The 18,075-nt window shown below is 52.2% G+C and overlaps 1 protein-coding gene across 5 annotated transcripts in view, besides 6 other annotated features; it reads right to left on the reverse strand.

The window, feature by feature from the left end:
* The window catches only part of MAD1L1 (mitotic arrest deficient 1 like 1), a 417,151-nt gene that overhangs the window by 337,813 nt on the left and 61,263 nt on the right, over positions 1-18,075 (reverse strand). The window lies entirely within an intron of this gene.
* Positions 4,131-5,080: an enhancer, noted in NCBI's record as "H3K27ac-H3K4me1 hESC enhancer chr7:2197373-2198322 (GRCh37/hg19 assembly coordinates)". NCBI's record gives its function as "activates a minimal SCP1, AML or CMV promoter by ChIP-STARR-seq in naive H9 embryonic stem cells {active_cell/tissue: H9 hESC(naive)}" and the evidence as "EXISTENCE:reporter gene assay evidence [ECO:0000049][PMID:30033119]".
* Positions 5,081-6,029: an enhancer, noted in NCBI's record as "H3K27ac-H3K4me1 hESC enhancer chr7:2198323-2199271 (GRCh37/hg19 assembly coordinates)". NCBI's record gives its function as "activates a minimal SCP1, AML or CMV promoter by ChIP-STARR-seq in naive H9 embryonic stem cells {active_cell/tissue: H9 hESC(naive)}" and the evidence as "EXISTENCE:reporter gene assay evidence [ECO:0000049][PMID:30033119]".
* Positions 12,356-12,685: an enhancer, noted in NCBI's record as "active region_25509". NCBI's record gives its function as "activates an Ori minimal core promoter by ATAC-STARR-seq in GM12878 lymphoblastoid cells {active_cell/tissue: GM12878}" and the evidence as "EXISTENCE:reporter gene assay evidence [ECO:0000049][PMID:35858748]".
* Positions 12,356-12,720: a biological region, named in NCBI's record as "ReSE screen-validated silencer GRCh37_chr7:2205752-2205962".
* Positions 12,510-12,720: a silencer, noted in NCBI's record as "fragment chr7:2205752-2205962 (GRCh37/hg19 assembly coordinates)". NCBI's record gives its function as "represses an EF-1alpha promoter that drives an FKBP-Casp9 reporter gene in an ReSE screen in K562 erythroleukemia cells {active_cell/tissue: K562}" and the evidence as "EXISTENCE:reporter gene assay evidence [ECO:0000049][PMID:32094911]".
* Positions 14,675-15,348: an enhancer, noted in NCBI's record as "H3K27ac-H3K4me1 hESC enhancer chr7:2207917-2208590 (GRCh37/hg19 assembly coordinates)". NCBI's record gives its function as "activates a minimal SCP1, AML or CMV promoter by ChIP-STARR-seq in primed H9 embryonic stem cells {active_cell/tissue: H9 hESC(primed)}" and the evidence as "EXISTENCE:reporter gene assay evidence [ECO:0000049][PMID:30033119]".

The following is an 18,075-nucleotide window of genomic DNA, read 5'->3' on the forward strand; positions in this document are numbered from 1 at the left end:
AATTAGTACCACCGCTATGGAACCCAGTATGGAGATTTCTCAAAAAGCTGAAAACAGAACACCACCACATGATCCAGCAATCCCACCACTGGGTATTTACTCAAAGGAAATCACTGTATCAAAAAGATACCTGCATTCCCATGTTTATCACAGCAAAGATGGCAAAGATACGGAATTAACCTGTGTCTATCGACAGACGAATGGATAAAGAAAATGGGGATGTACACACAGTGGAATGCTATCCGGCCGTAAGAAAGAACAAGAGCTGGGCCGAGCGCGGTGGCTCACGCCTGTAATCCCACCGCTTTGGGAGGCCGAGGCAGGTGGATCAGGAGGTCAGGAGTTCGAGACCAGCCCGGCCAACATGGTGAAACTCCATCTCTACTAAAAATACAAAAATTAGCCAGGCGTGGTGGCACACGCCTGTAATCCCAGCTACTCAGGAGGCTGAGGCAGGAGAATCACTTGAACCAGGGAGTCAGAGGTTGTAGTGAGCCAAGATGACGCCACTGCACTCCAGCCTGGCAACAGAGCAAGACTCCATCTCAAAAAAAAAGAAAGAATGAGAGCCTGTCATTTGTAACAACGTGGCTGGAATGGGAGGTGACCGTGTCAGGTGAAACCACCAGGAACAGAAAGAAACTGCACGTCTTCACTCATGGGAGCTGTGGAAATTCACCTCCTAAAGGCAGAGAGTAGAATGACAGGAACTAGTGGATTGAAAGGTCTGGGTGAGCGGAACCACAGATGAAGAGAGTTGAGTTAATGGGTACGAACATACAGTTAGATGAAAGGTATAAATTCAGTTGTTCCACAGAAGAGGAGGGTGACTAGAGTTAACAGTGTATTGTATAATTCAAAGTAGCTAGAAGAGAACCAGAATTTTTCCCAATACGTGGAAATGATAAATACTCAAAGTGATGGTTACCCCAAATACCCTAAACTTGCCCATTCCACATTCTGTGCACGTAAGAAAATATCACAGGTACTCCATAAATATGTAAAATATTATGTATAAAAATAAATAAATGGTAAATAAATAAATAAAAGAAAATGGGCTCTCTGGGGATGAAGTGTATGAGCTTTAGCTAGTGGAAACAGAATGGGTTTAAGGCAATGGTTTCAGAGCACTCCATATCAGAAAAAGAAAAGATGAAATGGTTTTGCCAACATGTGGACATTTCTGAGGCCACAAAGGAGGTCCCATCAAGAACAAGGTGGAATCCGATCAAACGGGTCAGGAGGTCACCTCCTGAACTCTACAGGAAGCATTCCGGCGCCCTCTTCTCGTATTAACAGCAGCCTGTGGAGAAGGACGGAGGCCACCATCTGGAGTAAAGGACATACCCTTGAACCAAGCGGGGTGGGGAGGAGGAGCCCAGGAGGCTCTGGGCACGCGGAGGAGTCCACAGGGGTGGACTGTGAGCTCTCAGAGAGGCTTGCACGGAGAAGCAGCACGGGAGCCGGAGAGCCGCTCCTCCGGCTTGGGGCTTCTGTGGCCTGGCAAGAAGGCTTGCTACCTGAGGAAGACTGGACCCTCCAAAAGGACGAGGCTAAGAGAGCGAGCAAAGGGGGGTCCTCAGGCCTGACCTGCTGACCTGCCACGCTCTTCCAAGAGGACATCCTGAGGAAACCCAAGACAAGCACCACACCTGGCCACGGTGGCATCCTGCCACCGTGTTGGGATGTTTTTAATTGTGGTAAAATACACTTAACATAAAATATACCATCTTAACCATTTTTAAGTCCCCAGTTCTGTCGTGTTGAGCATATTCATGTTATTGGGCAACCAGCACCACACCTATCCCCAGAACTCTTAATTTTGCAAAACTGAAACCCTGTCGCATTAAAGAGGAACTCCCACAGCCCCTCTGCTCCCAGCCCCAGCCACCTCCATACTACCTTCCGTCTCTAAGAATGCGACCACTCCAGCCACATGAGTGGAGCCATAGAGCATTTCTCTGTGACGGGCTCACTCTACTTGGCATCACGTCCTCAAGGCTCATCCATGTTACAGCATGTGGCAGACTCTCCTTCCTTTTGAAGGCTGAGTAATACTCCATTGTGTGGCTACACAACGTTTATCCACTCACCCGTCGGTGGACACCTGGGCTGCTTTCACCTTTTGGCTGTTGTGAATAATGCTGCTAGGAACATGGGTGTGCCAATGCCTGTTCCAAACGCTGCTTTTAATGATCTCGGGTGGATACGCAGAAGCGGCACTGACAGAGCATCCCCTTTTCGGTTTTTCCGAGAACCACCACAGGCTGTTTTCCACTGTGGCTGCACCAACTTACTTTCTCCATCTCATAGTTTTTAATTTAAAAAAAAGCTCAACAATAAAAAAAATAAGCAAGTCCTCATAGCCATAACATTGAGCACTGAACACCCATTAAAGCTGATGCTGGGCAAAAAGGTGGTCAGGCAGTTGCTGCAAAAAGCGCAGGACACGAGGATGTGCTCGGCTCTAACCAGGACAGTGGGCGCATGGTTTCACGGCGCGTGTGGCGAGGGCAGCGGGCGCACGGTTTCACGGCGGGTGTGGCGAGGGGAGCGGGCGCACGGTTTCACGGCGCGTGTGGCGAGGGGAGCGGGCGCACGGTTTCACGGCGCGTGTGGCGAGGGGAGCGGGCGCATGGTTTCACGGCGCGTGTGGCGAGGGGAGCGGGCGCATGGTTTCACGGCGCGTGTGGCGAGGGCAGTGGATGCATGGTTTCACGGTGCGTGGCGTCATGACGTCGGGCTAATGGCATGGACCACCTGCACCAGAGTCATCTGAGGCAACTCCAGCCTGCCCCGCCCCACCCCACCCCACTGAATCAAGACCCCCCTGAAGGCGGGGCTTAGGGGCTGCACACAAACTCCCTGGTGATTCTTACACACAACTACTTCCGGAACTACCGATCATCTGCATAAATAGAGAGGGGAGGCTGGGCGCGCAGTGGCTCACGCCTATAATGCCAGCACTTTGGGAGGCCGAGGCAGGCGGATCACCTGAGGTCAGGAGCTCAAGACCAGCCTGGCCAACATGGTGAAACCCCGTCTCTACTAAAAATACAAAAAATTAGCCGGGTGCAGTGGCAGGTGCCTGTAATCCCACCTACTCAGGAGGCTGAGGCAGGAGAATTGCTTGAACCCGGGAGGTGGAGGTTACAGTGAGCTGAGACCACGGTATTGCCCTCCAGCCTGCGCAACAAGAGCAAGACTCCATCTCAAAAAAAAAAAAAAAGAAAGAAAGAAAAGGAAAAGAAAAGAAAAGAAAGAAATAGGGGAAAGTCTAAGCAGAAAATAACCCTACAGCCTTCTGGGCAAGTTACCAAAGGCAATTCTTTATGTCACCAGGATGCCACCCACCACACGTGTGACAGAGAAAACACTGCCTGCGGTTCTCTGTCAATCTGAAGGACAAATATTAGGTTACAGAATTTGGTCCAAGTCTAAAAGAAGAATCCTACAAATGTCATCACAAGAATTCTGGAAACTCGAACACCTGAAACTGCATGACACCTTTGGCTTCTACGTAGGACAAGGTTATGGACTTTTGATCATTTGATATATACTGGAACGTCTTCAAAAGAGTGCTAAGTAATACAATATTTTAAGAATAGAAATCAATAGTAAGAAGGCGATGGGAACACTGTTGTGGGGAGGCCTGGCTCCACTGACCACTCCAGCAGTGCAGGTCACCGTGATCAGGAAGCGGTAATGATGGAACAAATCACAGCACTCAGAGGGCTCCTCCCCTTCATGTTACCATTTGAGCTCCCCACCATGCAAGTCCACACCTCACATGCGTAAGAACCCGCAAAAACTAAGAGACTGAGAAGAGAAAAGCAGCACAGCATGCTCCCGACACGGAAGACGCTGCCCATCTGGGAGGAGTGGGAGAGCCGGTCCCCTACAGTCTCTGCTCAGTGCAGCACAGGCCCAGGGCCCTGGGACACAGGGCAGAGGGTGTCTGAAAGAGGAGGGCAGACACCTCCCGAGAAGCCCTGGGACTCAGGAACCCGGCTTGTGCCTGTGGGAAGAGAGGGCTGGAGCTCCACCACCACTGGCTGTCACGAGCTCCACACAAGAACAGAGGAAAGTTCTTGAAGAGCTGTTGAATCATGAAGGGTTATTAAACAATTGCAGCCTTCGCCACACATCAAATCCAAGACCAGAGCCCCAACACCTCCAACTGGCAGGAAGAGTGTTTATTTTCCAGAAGCCTCCTGACCTGTGTGTGGTTAAAGCTACTCAGAGATGTTTACCAAGGGTGCTCTGGGGATTAGCTAAGTGCTCGTAACCAGGAGGAGCCGTGCCAAGTATTATTACGGCCTAAGAATAACTCCCGACAGTCCATTCTGAAACCCGCACTTCACCAACTACAAAGTGGAAGGCATTCAGAGGCCTCAGGAGCCTCAGCTCGGAGATGACACGGCAGTGACAGTTCCAACTGCAGTCCAAGCTGTGACATCTGCTGCTGAACACGCGGGCTTCAGCTGCGAAGCCTTTTAAATTCTAACTGGTGGGTTTTCAAGGGGAAGAAAGTCTTTTTGTTCTATCTGCAGCTGAATTTTGACTCAAGCCCAGCTGCACGCAGAGCAGCAGAGGGCTGTGGGGAGTCCGGCCTACTGCTTTCCTTCCGAGGCGAGAGCAGCTCCAGCCCAAGCCACAGCTATTTTGGGGCTAATAGCAGATGTTGGGGCTCTAGCTGAAGCCCAAAGTGCCAGTTTCACCGAGTCTGAAAAACTGGAGACCCAGAGGACTCCGAGGTGGAAAATGAATGAAACAGCAACAGCCATCAAACTAATTAGCAAACAAGACACCTCAAGCTTTCAAAGAATAGAAATCCACAGGGCCTAGGACCACAGTCCAAAACTGCTGAGGCTGGGGCTCCAGCCAGAGCCCTGCGGAAGGCAGGGAACACAACCCAAGCGACACAGGCTGTCTCTGCAGGGCTTGTTTTGCGAAAAGTATGCAGAAATAGGAATAAAATACATTAGACAGCAAAACCTCAGTGCTACAAACCAAAGGACAATCAGCATTCACAACTGCAAAGTCACAAGGGCAACAGGGCGTCATGTCAGCCGGACTTTTCTGGCTGATGCAACACAATTGTGTGGAAAGGTGGGGTCGCCAGGTTGGGAGAGATGCATGGCCCCAGAACACGGGAGGAGCAGCTGGTGTTTTCCTGAAGACAGGGGACTAATGCCATGCTGTGCAGTACCCGGCCCTGGGTCAGGTTCTGCAGGAGCCACCTGCCTGAGGCTGCACCTGCTGCACCTGCTGCACCCAGCCTGAGGCCACTAAGCTGGAGCTCAGACTCTCTGGTCCCAAGATCAGAGGAACCCCAAGTCAGGGGATTCACATGGGGCACCAGTCCCTCTCACCAAGAGCCTGGGCCGCTCCGTGACACCCTGGCCACATGGCAGACGATGCCACTCACACTCTTCCCAGCAGACAGAGGAAAGGTCACTCTTACCCCATGGAAAGGGACCCAGGCAAGGTGTGGTTTCAGGCCTGGCTGCTCCACCACTACTCTCCAGCCCCATCCATAAGCCCAAAGGCCCACGCAGCAGCAAACCCTCGTCACGCTGTGACTCCCACAGGGAGCAACCACTTTCCTACGGGGATGTGGGTCCCACACACTGCCTGTGCAGGACAGGGGTGCAGGAGGCATCTGCTTCTCCACGTCACTGCCTCAAAACCTCCCACAACGGGAGCCACATTCCCACCTCAGGTCCTCTGCACAGCCCTCTTCCACAACACCGCACCCCTAGATGCCTGCGTGGCCTGCCCCCTCTTCACTTGTTTGAGTCTTCAATGGAATGTCACCTGAGCCCTGGCTCCTGGCCGCTCCTCCTGGTGCTCTCCTCCTTCACAGAACACCACCAGCTGAGATCCTGCATCTTTCTACCTGCTTATTTAGTGTCTTTCCCCCTCCACTGGAATGCAGGCTCCAGAAAGGCATGGGACTGTTTTTTATTTTGTTCTGTTTTTTTCCACTGGCCCAATAATACGTTTTCAATAAATACTAAGAGAATGAGCAAAAAAAATCATATCATTCCAGAACAGTAACTATCCGACTAAATGCTACGCAAGTCATTCTACTGAACTCAGACCACTGGATTAAAAGTTCGGTATAACAGGTTAAATGTCGTAGTCTATCCATACAATGGAACTTGTGTAAGAGGAAAAAAACACATCTTTTCCTATATTAACATGAAAGATCACCAAAAAGGCAGTGCTAAATACAGACACAAGAAGCGGACTATAAGTATGCTATGCTGCCGTGTGCAGAAAAGTCAAAACCTGCATGGCTGTGTTGATTCATTTTTGCACAAAAGAAGTCTGGCCAGGCGCAGTGGCTCATGCCTGTAATCCCAGCACTTTGGGAGGCAGAGGTGGGTAGATCACTTGAGCCCAGGAATTTCAGACCAGCCTAGGCAACATGGTAAAACCCCGTCTCTGCAAAAAAAATACAAAAAATTAGCCAGGCCTGGTGGGGAGTGCCTATAGTCCCAGCTACTCAGGATGCTGAGGCGGGAGGATCTCTTGAGCCTGGGAGGCAGAGGCTACAGTGAGCTATGATCGCGCACGGCACTCCAGCCTGGGTGACAGACAGAATGATACCCTGTCTCAAAAAAAAAAAAAAAATCTAAAAGATAAACAAGAAAATAACAATGGCCTCCTGCTGGAGAACAAGAACATGGCAGGAGGCTTGCCACTGGATCCTATTTTTTTTTTTTTTTTTTTTTGAGACAGAGTCTCACTCTGTGGCCCAGGCTGGAGTGCAGTGGCGCAATCTTGGCTCACTGAAAGCTCCGCCTCCTGGGTTCACACCATTCTCCTGCCTCAGACTCCCGAGGGGCTGGGACTACAGGCGCCCACCACCATGCCCAGCTAATTTTTCTGTACTTTTAGTAAAGACGGGGTTTCACTGTGTTAGCCAGGATGGTCTCGATCTCCTGACCTTGTGATCTGCCCGCTTCGGCCTCCCAAAGTGCTGGGATTACAGGCGTGAGCCACCGCCCCCGGCCTATTTTTTTTTCTTTTTTGAGACAGAGGCTCGCTCTGTCGCCCAGGCTGGAGTGCAGTGACATGACCTCAGCTCACTGGAATCTCCGCTCTCCTGCCTCAGCCTCCAGAGTAGCTGGGATTACAGGTACCCACTACCATGCCGGGCTAGCCACTGGATACTTTTTGAATGTTTTCAATATTCTGTACCAAGAAAATACAATAGCTGTTCAATAAGTAATTTTCAAAGCCTAGTATTGCAACCTTATATTGCAGAATCAGGTACTACATAAAAATTTTATAAAAAGAAAAATAATTCCCACAACAAATTAATGCAGAGAAAATCTAATTATAAACATTTGTAACAAAACAATTCTATCATTCCTAACTGACGCTCAGCTATGCATAACAATGCAAATAACTGGCACTATAAATGGGGCAGCAATATATCACTGCAAGGTTTCCTACCCAGAATCATCAAGACGATAATGGAGCCCCTGCCCCTCCCCCTCCCTCTCCCCTTTGCACGGTCTCCCTCTGATGCCGAGCCGAGGCTGGACTGTACTGCCGCCATCTCGACTCACTGCAACCTCCCTGCCTGATTCTCCTGCCTCAGCCTGCTGAGTGCCTGAGATTGCAGGCGCGCGCCGCCAAGCCTGACTGGTTTTCGTATTTTTTGGTGGAGACGGGGTTTCGCTGTGCTGGCCAGGCTGGTCTCAGCTCCTGACCGCGAGTGATCTGCCAGCCTCGGCCTCCCGCGGTGCCGGGATTGCAGACGGAGTCTCACTCACTCAGTGCTCAGTGTTGCCCAGCCTGGAGTGCAGTGGCGTGATCTCGGCTCGCTACAACCTTCACCTCCCAGCCGCCTGACTTGGCCTCCCAAAGTGCCGAGATTGCAGCCTCTGCCCAGCCGCCACCCCATCTAGGAAGTGAGGAGCGTCTCTGACCGGCCGCCCATCGTGTGGGATGTGAGGAGCCCCTCTGCCCGACCGCCCAGTCTGGGAAGTGAGGAGCGCCTCTTCCCGGCCGACATCCCGTCTAGGAAGTGAGGAGCGTCTCTGCCCGGCCGCCCATCGTCTGGGATGTGGGGAGCGCCTCTGCCCCGCCGCCCCGTCTGGGATGTGAAGAGCGCCTCTGCCTGGCCGCGACCCCATCTGGGAACTGAGGAGTGCCTCTGCCCCACCGCCACCCCGTCTGGGAGGTGAGGAGCATCTCTGACCGGCCGCCCTGTCTGGGAAGTGAGGAGCCCCTCTGCCCAGCAGCCGCCCTGTCCGGGAGGTGGGGGGCAGCCCCCGCCCGCCAGCCAGCCCGTCCGGGAGGTGGGGGGCAGCCCCCACCCGGCCAGCCACCCCGTCCGGGAGGTGGGGGGCGGCCCCCGCCCATCCGGGAGGTGGGGGGCGGCCCCTGCCCATCCACCCGGCCGCCCCGTCTGGGAAGTGAGGAGCCCCTCTGCCCGGCCACCACCCCGTCTGGGAGGTGTATCCAACAGCTCATTGAGAACGGGCCATGATGAGGATGGCGGTTTTGTCGAATAGAAAAGGGGGAAATGTGGGGAAAAGAAAGAGAGATCAGATTGTTACTGTGTCTGTGTAGAAAGAAGTAGACATGGGAGACTCCATTTTGTTCTGTACTAAGAAAAATTCTTCTGCCTTGGGATGCTGTTAATCTATAACCTTACCCCCAACCCTGTGCTCTCTGAAACATGTGCTGTGTCCACTCAGGGTTAAATGGATTAAGGGCGGTGCAGGATGTGCTTTGTTAAACAGATGCTTGAAGGCAGCATGCTGGTTAAGAGTCATCACCACTCCCTAATCTCAAGTACCCAGGGACACAAACACTGCGGAAGGCCGCAGGGACCTCTGCCTAGGAAAACCAGAGACCTTTGTTCACGTGTTTATCTGCTGACCTTCCCTCCACTATTGTCCTATGACCCTGCCAAATCCCCCTCTCCGAGAAACACCCAAGAATGATCAATAAATACTAAAAAAAAAAACAAACAAAAAACCAACTTAAAGGGGTAAATGATATCTTAAAAAAAATCCATTAAAAGAGGAAAACACAAAGAATAAAAATAAAGTTATCTATAATCCACCACTCACAAAAAAAAAAAAAAAAAACGTAATGGATCCCAGAAGTTGGCTAAGTGAGGAATCAAATGATGCGTGTATCTCAAACATTTCAACTTAAAACAGAAAAACACACAATTATCTTTCAAGCTGCAAACTTTTTCTTCGAACATGAGTCCATTAATTGGAGTTTCATCTTTTTTTTTTTTTTTGCATGAACCATGTCCACGACACACCGCTCATGATTGTTAGCTTTGTTTCTTTAAAGTGGATCCCTGTCATCTTCCCAGACCTTACAACTTTTCCTCATAATCTTTCACTATTTGCTTTATTCAATAGCAATTTTTTAGCAATTTTCCTTTGGGACTTTCCAAAGCATTCAGCTTTGTCTTCACAGAAACATTGCTCTACACATAATTATTTTTCATCAGCTTCCATATTTAATTAAATGATGTAATTACAATGACGTGCAACAGGCACAAACCGGCACATTAAGGATGGGCGGCCAAGGCCTCCAGGGAGCAGGACTGAGTGAGCACCACAGTGTTTACAAAACTCAGGAGTGATCACAGAGCCCAGGGGCTTGCTCTGGGAGTGTGGGTTGGGGGCGTAATGGGATGGAACTAGGGAAGGTCCACATGTTTTCAAAGAAACTTTCCTTTTTCTTGAGAATGGGCACACAGGCGACAGTATGTATTCTTTGTTTTTTGTTTTTTGAGACAGAGTCTCACTCTGTCGCCCAGGCTGGAGTGCAGTGGCACAATCTCGGCTCACTGCAACCTCTGCCCCCCCGGTTCAAGCGATTCTTCTGCCTCAGCCTCCAGAGTAGCTGGGATTACAGGCGCATGACACCACACCTGGCTAATTTTTTGTATCTTTAGTAGAGACAGGGTTTCACTATGTTGGCCAGGCTGGTCTCCAACTCCTGACCTCATGATCCGCCCGCCTTGGCCTCCCAAAGTGCTGAGATTACAGGCGTGAGCCACAGAAGCACACTTTTCTACGTATAATGCATTTTAAACTTGGTCATGAGAGTTGCTGTGCAGCAGGAATCGACACTCTCCTAGGCAAGCCTGGGGAGCACTGGACGCCCTGGAGGCAGCCTGGGCCTGGCTCCTCTCAGAGCTGCCCCCTCCTCACCATGCGAATCTGACACAAAGCATCTCCCTCATCCATGCCAAGAATTACTGGGAACAGAAACGTGCATGTAAATAGTCTTGTTTTCAAAAAGCAGGTTCTGCAAACCATCCCAAGCATAAAGAGGCAGCAGAGTTAACACCTTAGTGTCTGCAGTCAGTCAAGCACTCAATTCTAAGTCCATTCATTGCGAATCTGTGACTCTGAGCTCTCCAAACCTCAACCCCCCACCTCAGGAAAATGGGAACAGTTACAGTCCAGCATGGACTCACTGAGAAGCGGATGCATGCAGACACCTATGTCCTCTTCTCAATAGGTTACTTGTATAACGAACCGCTGTATAAACAGAGACTACAAGATCAGAAATAAATATTTCTCTATCCACTGGCCTCTTTCCAGAGGAGACATAAGGTGATTCTAACATCCTCAGGCACTGTTCCAGAGTGCCGACTGATGCAAAGGAATGGGAGAGGCAAGAGAACAGCCTGGCACAGCAGAAAGCCCGCACTCTGGAGGCAGCCAGGTGAAGGGCCCAGCTGAGCCTCAGTTTTCTGGTCTATGAAACAGACAATTCGACCCTCCTGCAGGAGCTCTGCGCTGAGGGCACCCGGCAGTCAGTGGAAAACCCTGGACCCCTGTGACGGTTGCTGGTGCCCACGCCCATCGCCCGAGCAGGGGCAGACGGCATGCCTATCAGGTTGTAGGTCACATCAAATGGAGACAGCAGATATGTTAAGTGACAGAATCAGAGTCTAAAACCACACTAAGAAGCAGGAAAAATGGGGGGGGGGGGGGTTGCGGGTGGTAGAGGAAAAATAAATTTTTTGACAGTTGCACCAAAAAAAAATCAATTGTAGAAACATATGGTGGTAGGGCACACCTGCTCCATCAGCATAATCTGTGAAGATGCCTGCAGAATCTGCATCCAGTGAACAAATTTAACTGAGCACCTGCTGTGTGCCCAGCAAGGACACTACATGGACAAACAGACAGAGTCCTTGGCAGCTAGAGCTGAGTGGCTCGCTAAGGAGGCCGACCATGACAAGAGTGGGCAGGTGACATCCCCAAGGCCCAGAGGAGGTGACAGTGGCTTGATCCAGTGGCCGGATCTGGAGAAGAGTGGAAAGCCTGAGGCTGAGGGAAGGGGGCATGTTGACCCGGGAGGGCCAGGAAAGGGCTCTAGCTAGGGAAAGGTGACACCTGAGCACAGATTCAACGAAACAAAAGGTGGGCAATACAAATACGGCTGGGCGCAGTGGCTCACGCCTGTCATCCCAGCTATTCTGGAGGTTGAGGCAGGAGAATCGCCTCAACCCGGGAGGTGGAGGTTGCAGTGAGCCGAGATCGCACCATTGCACTCCAGCCTGGGCGACAAAGTGAGACTCCATCTCAAAAAAAAAAAGAAAAAGAAAAAAAATAGAAAGGGAAGAATTTATAGGAAGTTCTACAACAAACAAGGCTAAGCTACAGCTGCCGGGGATGAAGGGCTGGACTGGGGGGACCCCGGGAACTCTGGACTGATAGAAGTGTGTTATCTGGACGAGTGCACATGTTCCACTTGTCATGACTCATCCAACAACACACCTCAATCTGTACACTTCAGTGTCCAGGCTCAGGGGATGCCTGAGCCGTCAGCATGAACCCACGGTCACACTCTGGGATGCGAGCCACCATGGGAGGATGCTGCTGCCTGCCGCACTCCAGCCACCAGGACCACCCTCTGCAGAGCGGGAAGAAGCAGCCGTGCACAGCAGGGAGCTGAAATGGGGAAACGTGGTCCAGGGGAGAGGGGACTCTGCGCCGTGTTTCACTAAACCAAGGTGGTGTCCACGGCACGAAACGACCAAAACACGCGTCTCAGCTCAACAGAATGGAAGGGGTGGGACAAGTGGGTGCTTTGCTAGGTGGCAGACTCCCCATCCCCAAGAGGTACAGGGAAAGACTGACGGGCAAGGTGGCTGGAGGCTCAGGGCGAGACAGAGTGCCCCTGAGGACCACGGTGGGGCTTGGAGCAACATGGCCATGGCTGGATGGCCACCCCATGCTGCCCACAGCCCCGCTGACAAAGGCAGGTCTGTGTACGCAGAATGACCGGCCCCCAGGGTACACCTGTGCCTGGAACTCCAGTGTGGTTACTGTGGGTCCACATGCTCTGCGAAAGAGGAAGTAAGTCCTGGGGTCCATACTGATGAACGTCTTAGAGCTATTAGGGTCACTCATTAAGTGACTTCAGTAAAACCACACGTTCTCCCATGTGGAAACTTCTGACAAGAACAGGCCGCCAGCAGCAAAGTCCACGCCACCACGACTGTGACGTGGTCCATCCAGACCTCGCCTCCCAGGAGGGGATCCCGCCGCAGCCCTGGACCCAGGCCATGTTTTACAGCTCTTTTGCCAGAAACTGGCCCCCATCTCTCTGAGCTGTCCACAAGTCAGCAACTTGGCTCAACTGCTGCAGGGACATGAGTTACAAGGGTCCCCAGACACATGTAAATAAAATGAAGAAATGCCGGCTTTACAGTTGCTGCCCTCGCACTCTTTCTCCCAGCTCAGGAAGGATCTCAAGGGCTTCAAAGCAGCCTGGGTTCCAATTAAGCCCGTGTGACCACCCCAGGGATGCCAGAACATTCCTGATTAACAAGAGGCGCTGTTTGAACTGTTCAAGCTAAAAAAAAGCCCTCAGAACCTTTCAAACAAATGCCATAATTTTCTCTCCCTGTTTCCTCACTCTTTGGAAAAGCTGATCTTTTGAATGCTTTAAACGTTCAAAAAGAAAGCTAGATAATGGCCCCAAACACAACTTCGGCAAGAAGCTCAGAACAGGGGCAGCAAGTGGAGAGCTTGGGATGCAACCACACACAAGCAGGCCCGCTTCCGGGAGGCGTGGCCCGGCCGGCCTGAGGCTGTGACAGCGTGTGTCCACTGTCCACAGCAGCTGGGCCGGGAGAATGACCTGGGCGGAACCACGCCTGGCAGGGAGCTGCAGGGCCTCCATCATCATGCCAGGCGAACCCAGTGACAAGGGCCTCAAACAGAAGAGGCCCAGGGAAGGGCAGCCCATGGGCCTGAGAAGCACCACTACACACCTGGGCGGCGCACTCCGCTCACAAAGCACTCTTCCAGGAAGGGCCCCGGGCTGCTGGAGACTGAACCGGAATCTGCCTAACTGGTGGAATCCCCTTTTACAAAGAAGTGCCTGTAGCTCACGGGGCTAGAACCCAGGAAGGCCCCAGGTGAGCTCGAAACCCTAAAGCAACCCCGCTGTGGACAGTGGCATCGCAGATAGGAGAGTGCCGGTGAAACAGTAAGACCAGGGCAGCATGCTTCACTGGGCAACGGAGGTGCTGCTGCAAGTGGGCGCAGTAGCAGGCAGGTCAGGGAAAACCAAGGGACTATGACTTCAGAGATAACAGGTGACATTCCTGACTGTTCTACCTTTAGTCATGATTAGCAGGCCGGGCGCGGCAGCTCATGCCTGTAATCCCAGCACTTTGGGAGGCTGAGGCGGGCGGATCACGAGCTCAGGAGATAGAGACCATCCTGGCTAACACGGTGAAACCCCGTCTCTACTAAAAATACAAAAAAAATTAGCCGGGCATGGTGGCGGGCGCCTGTAGTCCCAGCTACTCGGGAGGCTGAGGCAGGAGAATGGCGTGAACCCGGGAGGCGGAGCTTGCAGTGAGCCGAGATCACGCCACTGCACTCCAGCCTGGGCAACAGAGCGAGACTCCGTCTCAAAAAATAATAATAATAATAATAATAATTAAAATTAGCCGTGCATGGTGGTGGGCACCTGTAATCCAGCTACTCAGGAGGCTGAGGTGGGAGGACCACTTGAGCCCGGGAGTTCGAGGCAGTAGTGAGCTATGATCACATCACTGCACTCCAACCTGGGCAACCTCATCTCTTAAAAAAATTAAAAAAAAAAACACAATATTTTAGACCAGGCATGATGGTGTATGCCTGTAATCCCAGCACTTTGGGAGGCCAAGGCAGGAGGATCGTGTAAGCCAGGAGTTTGATACCAGCCAGGGCAACATGGCAAGACTCTGCCTCTTAAAACAAAAATTTTTTAAGAAGCAAAATAACCATTCTGTAATAAATTTCACACTCCCCACCGCACCTATCTTACCTGCAAAGATTTATTTTGGCAAAGAGGCAGCAGATTGCAGAGTAAAGAACAGTAAATTGGACGGGCATGGTGGCTCACGCCTGTAATCCCAGCACTTTGGGAGGCCGAGGCGGGTGGATCACTTGAGGTCAGGAGTTCAAGAACAGCCTGGCCAACATGGCGAAACCCCATCTCTACTAAAAATACAAAAATTAGCCAGGCGTGGTGGTGGGTGCCTGTAGTCCCAGCTACTCGGGAGGCTGAGGCAGGAGAATGGCTTGAACCCAGGAGGCAGAGGTTGCAGTGAGCCGAGATCGTGCCACTGCACTCCAACCTGGGTGACAGAGCGAGACTGTCTAAAAAAAGAAAAAAAAAGAACAGTGAATTGAAAATCAAGTAAATCTGGCTTCTAGAGAAACAATCAAAGGCAATGTGGGAACAAAGGACTTTAACGAACAGAAACTCAGAAAAAGGTGCATCATTAGCGAGATGTTCTTTGAACTTGCTGAGCAATAAAGGGAGAGAAAAGGCCTCAGAACTCTAGAAAGGCAACAGCCATGCACCTGCAGGCCTGGGCTGTGGCCCCAGCTGGTCCCTGGCCTGCTGTGTGGCCTGGGCTTTCCTGAACTTCAGTTATCTGTCCTTAAAAGGGAGGAAGGGACCAGGAGACCTCATCCTGATCTGTGATTCTCCTTCAGCAAACAAAAATCGCCTAAGAATCTCTTCCTTCTGATGATGTGGCTGGTGTGGGTGAACCAGCCGCGAGAAGGCACAGGACGATACTCCCGCGTGGAGGGCGCCACGAGGTCAAGGTCCTGAGGCCGGAACACCAAGGAGCTCTGGGAGGGTGGAGGAAGAACACAAGCCTGGAGCAGGGGGCAGACACACGGGGCGTGGGGCCCAGAGGCCACCGGGAGGACTCAGGTTTTATTCCGAGTGTGCTAAGGAGCCAGGGATTGTGGCTGAAGCGGGAGGAACACGCTAAGGAGCCAGGGATGGCGGCTGAAGCGGGAGGAACACGCGCTCGGACTTGCTGATGGGCTCTTACGTGGGCTTTTCCCCAGCTGAAGAATGAGTTACTAAATGTGTTTTAAAATGCAAAAATGTGTACCCGGTGCTTGTCCTGGCGCTGTTCAGAACAGGAAGAACCGGAAACAACCTGAATATTCACAGGAGGCAAACGATCCGTGACAGGACAAGCGTGGGATGGCCTCCTGTGTGGCAGAAAGGACATTCGGGACCTATGACGCAAACGCAGGCGGCTACACATTCGCCTGCAGGACTGCACCTTTTAAAGTCCGCATGTAGACAGTGAAAATCTACAAAGGTAAACCGGAATCTCCTAAGAGCGGGTAGGGATGCGACTGGTGGGATTACGGGGGATTGGCAGTCTTCTTTTTATGTATCTGTATTTCCCTACTTTGTAAAGAACATTACTTGTGCAATAAAATTAAGAAAAAAAGTTCTATAGCCACCTTGCTCAACTTCGTCATGTCAAGGAAAAAAAGTATTTAGGAACATAAATTGTTCTTTACTTGGAAAAAAAAAATCTCTTGCTCCAATCCAAAAAGGCATAGGAAAAAAGGCATAAAGAGCTGTGCACATTAGCAAAGGGGCCCTCTTGCACTGAGCGGTGGCCAGTGTGTCTACACTGCAGGTGCCAGGCTCCGCGCTGCGTGCAATTAACAGGTCAGGTGCATGGAGTTTAAAGGAGAGCAGAACAAGCAGCGGGTCAAGGTGCCAGGACTGAGATCACAAAGACCCACAGGGGGCACATGGAGCAGAGGCTGGACCACAGTCTGGGTGGAGGGGTCGGCCAGGACTGAGAGCACAAAGGCCCACTGGGGGCACTCGGAGCAGGGGCTGGACCACAGTCTGGGTGGAGGGGTCGGCCAGGACTGAGAGCACAAAGGCCCACTGGGGGCACTCGGAGCAGGGGCTGGACCACAGTCTGGGTGGAGGGGTCGGCCAGGACTGAGAGCACAAAGGCCCACCGGGGGCACTTGGAGCAGGGGCTGGACCACAGTCTGGGTGGAGGGGTTGCGGAAGGCTTCCTGAGACGAGACAGGATGCAGATAAACCCTAAATGATGAATGCATCCGAAGGGGCCCTGCCTCCCGGACTCGTGCCCTCAGGTCGTCCCTTCCACAAACACCCGGGCCAGGCTCTGGCCACAGCTACTGCAACCACAACCAACAGGCTTAAGGAACCTGCATGCCAGGGCTTGTCCCTATGGGCTTTGGCAGCCACGTGAAGCAGCTCGTCCTAGCCAGAGAGAGCCCCTGAGGAAAGAAGGCAGCCCTGCCTCCTGGCCATTAACAAGGCAGCACACGTGCACATAAAGCCATCCTGGATGTCCCATCCCCAACTGCCACCAGATTGGCCCCAGGCAACCTGCAGAATCCTGAAAAATTACCAAGCACTGTTCAAAGCCACTAAGTGTTCGGGGCTGGAGTGGGCCGTAACAGGGAAAGGGGAGGGCAAGTGGGAGGGCAGAGGGAGTGGGAGAAAGCACAGAACTCATGTTCGGTGTGGCTGGTGCAGAGGCTGAGGCGAGGGTGACAGAGAAGCGGGAGAGCCAGGCAATGGCAGGAGGCTTCTGGTCAGCCACATGGAGACATGAGGACTTCATCGTGACATCGGCAGGGACAGACAAACAGCTTTGAGCAGGGTCTCGTGGTCATTGCTTCATCTCAGGCAGATCCCTCCAAGTGCTGGAGTGAAGAATAGTTGCAAGACGCAAAAGTGAAGCCAGGGACGGTAAGGTGGCCACTGCACGAGAAAGGGTTTCCAAGTGGCGTAGCGGCAGTGGGGATGGGCTGGAACTAGCAGGATCCCAGGAAGGCAAGGAGAGGAAATCACAGGAAAGGCGACACAGGCTGAGAAGGGAAAGTCGGGGCGTCAGAGATGAGAACCAGGTGCCTGCCGTGGGTACTGAGTGGATGGGCCTGCCTCTCCCAAGGATGGGAACCGGAGGAGCCCCAAGCTCCCTGTGACCAGTTAAACACAGGCAGAAACACATGGGGGGTTGGCGGTTATAGGTGATCAAACGCAAAACAACTTCTGGCCTTCAACAGTTCAAAGAGCACAGTTGGAACACAGATGATTTAGCAAGACAGGCAGAACTCGATAGTGCTTCAAAACGGCCCAATTTTCCTTGCTGCTACGCCACTGGTGGCTGCCATTAATGAATGGGGTAGAAAAGAGAACTGGGGAGAACTTTCAGAGAATCCTAATAATCTGCTGAAGAGAAGCAACGTTTCCTGCGTATCGTGCCAGCAGAGCGAAGGGCACTCTCATTCTCCCCAATTTAAAGATGAAAACATGGGTGCAGTTCCATAACCTGCCTGAGGCCACACAACCAAAGGAGGCAGCAGGCCTCAACCTAGGCTCTTACCCAGTAGGCTCACAGGACTGTCAACACTGTGGTGCTGGAGCCACAGCATGCACACACGTGCACACATGCCCCACAAAGATTCCTCAACCTCACCCCCGGAAGTGCTTGGCGGATTACAGCAGGGCCACGTATGGGTCACCTCCACCCTGCAAAGGACAGCAGAGAAGGACAGCAGCCGGAGGGTGGAGATGGGACACGTATGGGTCACCTCCACCGTGCAAAGGACAGCAGAGAAGGACAGCAGAGAAGCCCAGCAGCTGGAGGGTGGAGATGGGCCACGTATGGGTCACCTCCACCAGGCAAAGGACAGCAGAGAAGCCCAGCAGCTGGAGGGTGGAGATGGGACACGTATAGTCACCTCC

The sequence above is a fragment of the Homo sapiens genome, chromosome 7, assembly GCF_000001405.40.
Source record: "Homo sapiens chromosome 7, GRCh38.p14 Primary Assembly".
Lineage (NCBI taxonomy): Eukaryota > Metazoa > Chordata > Mammalia > Primates > Hominidae > Homo > Homo sapiens.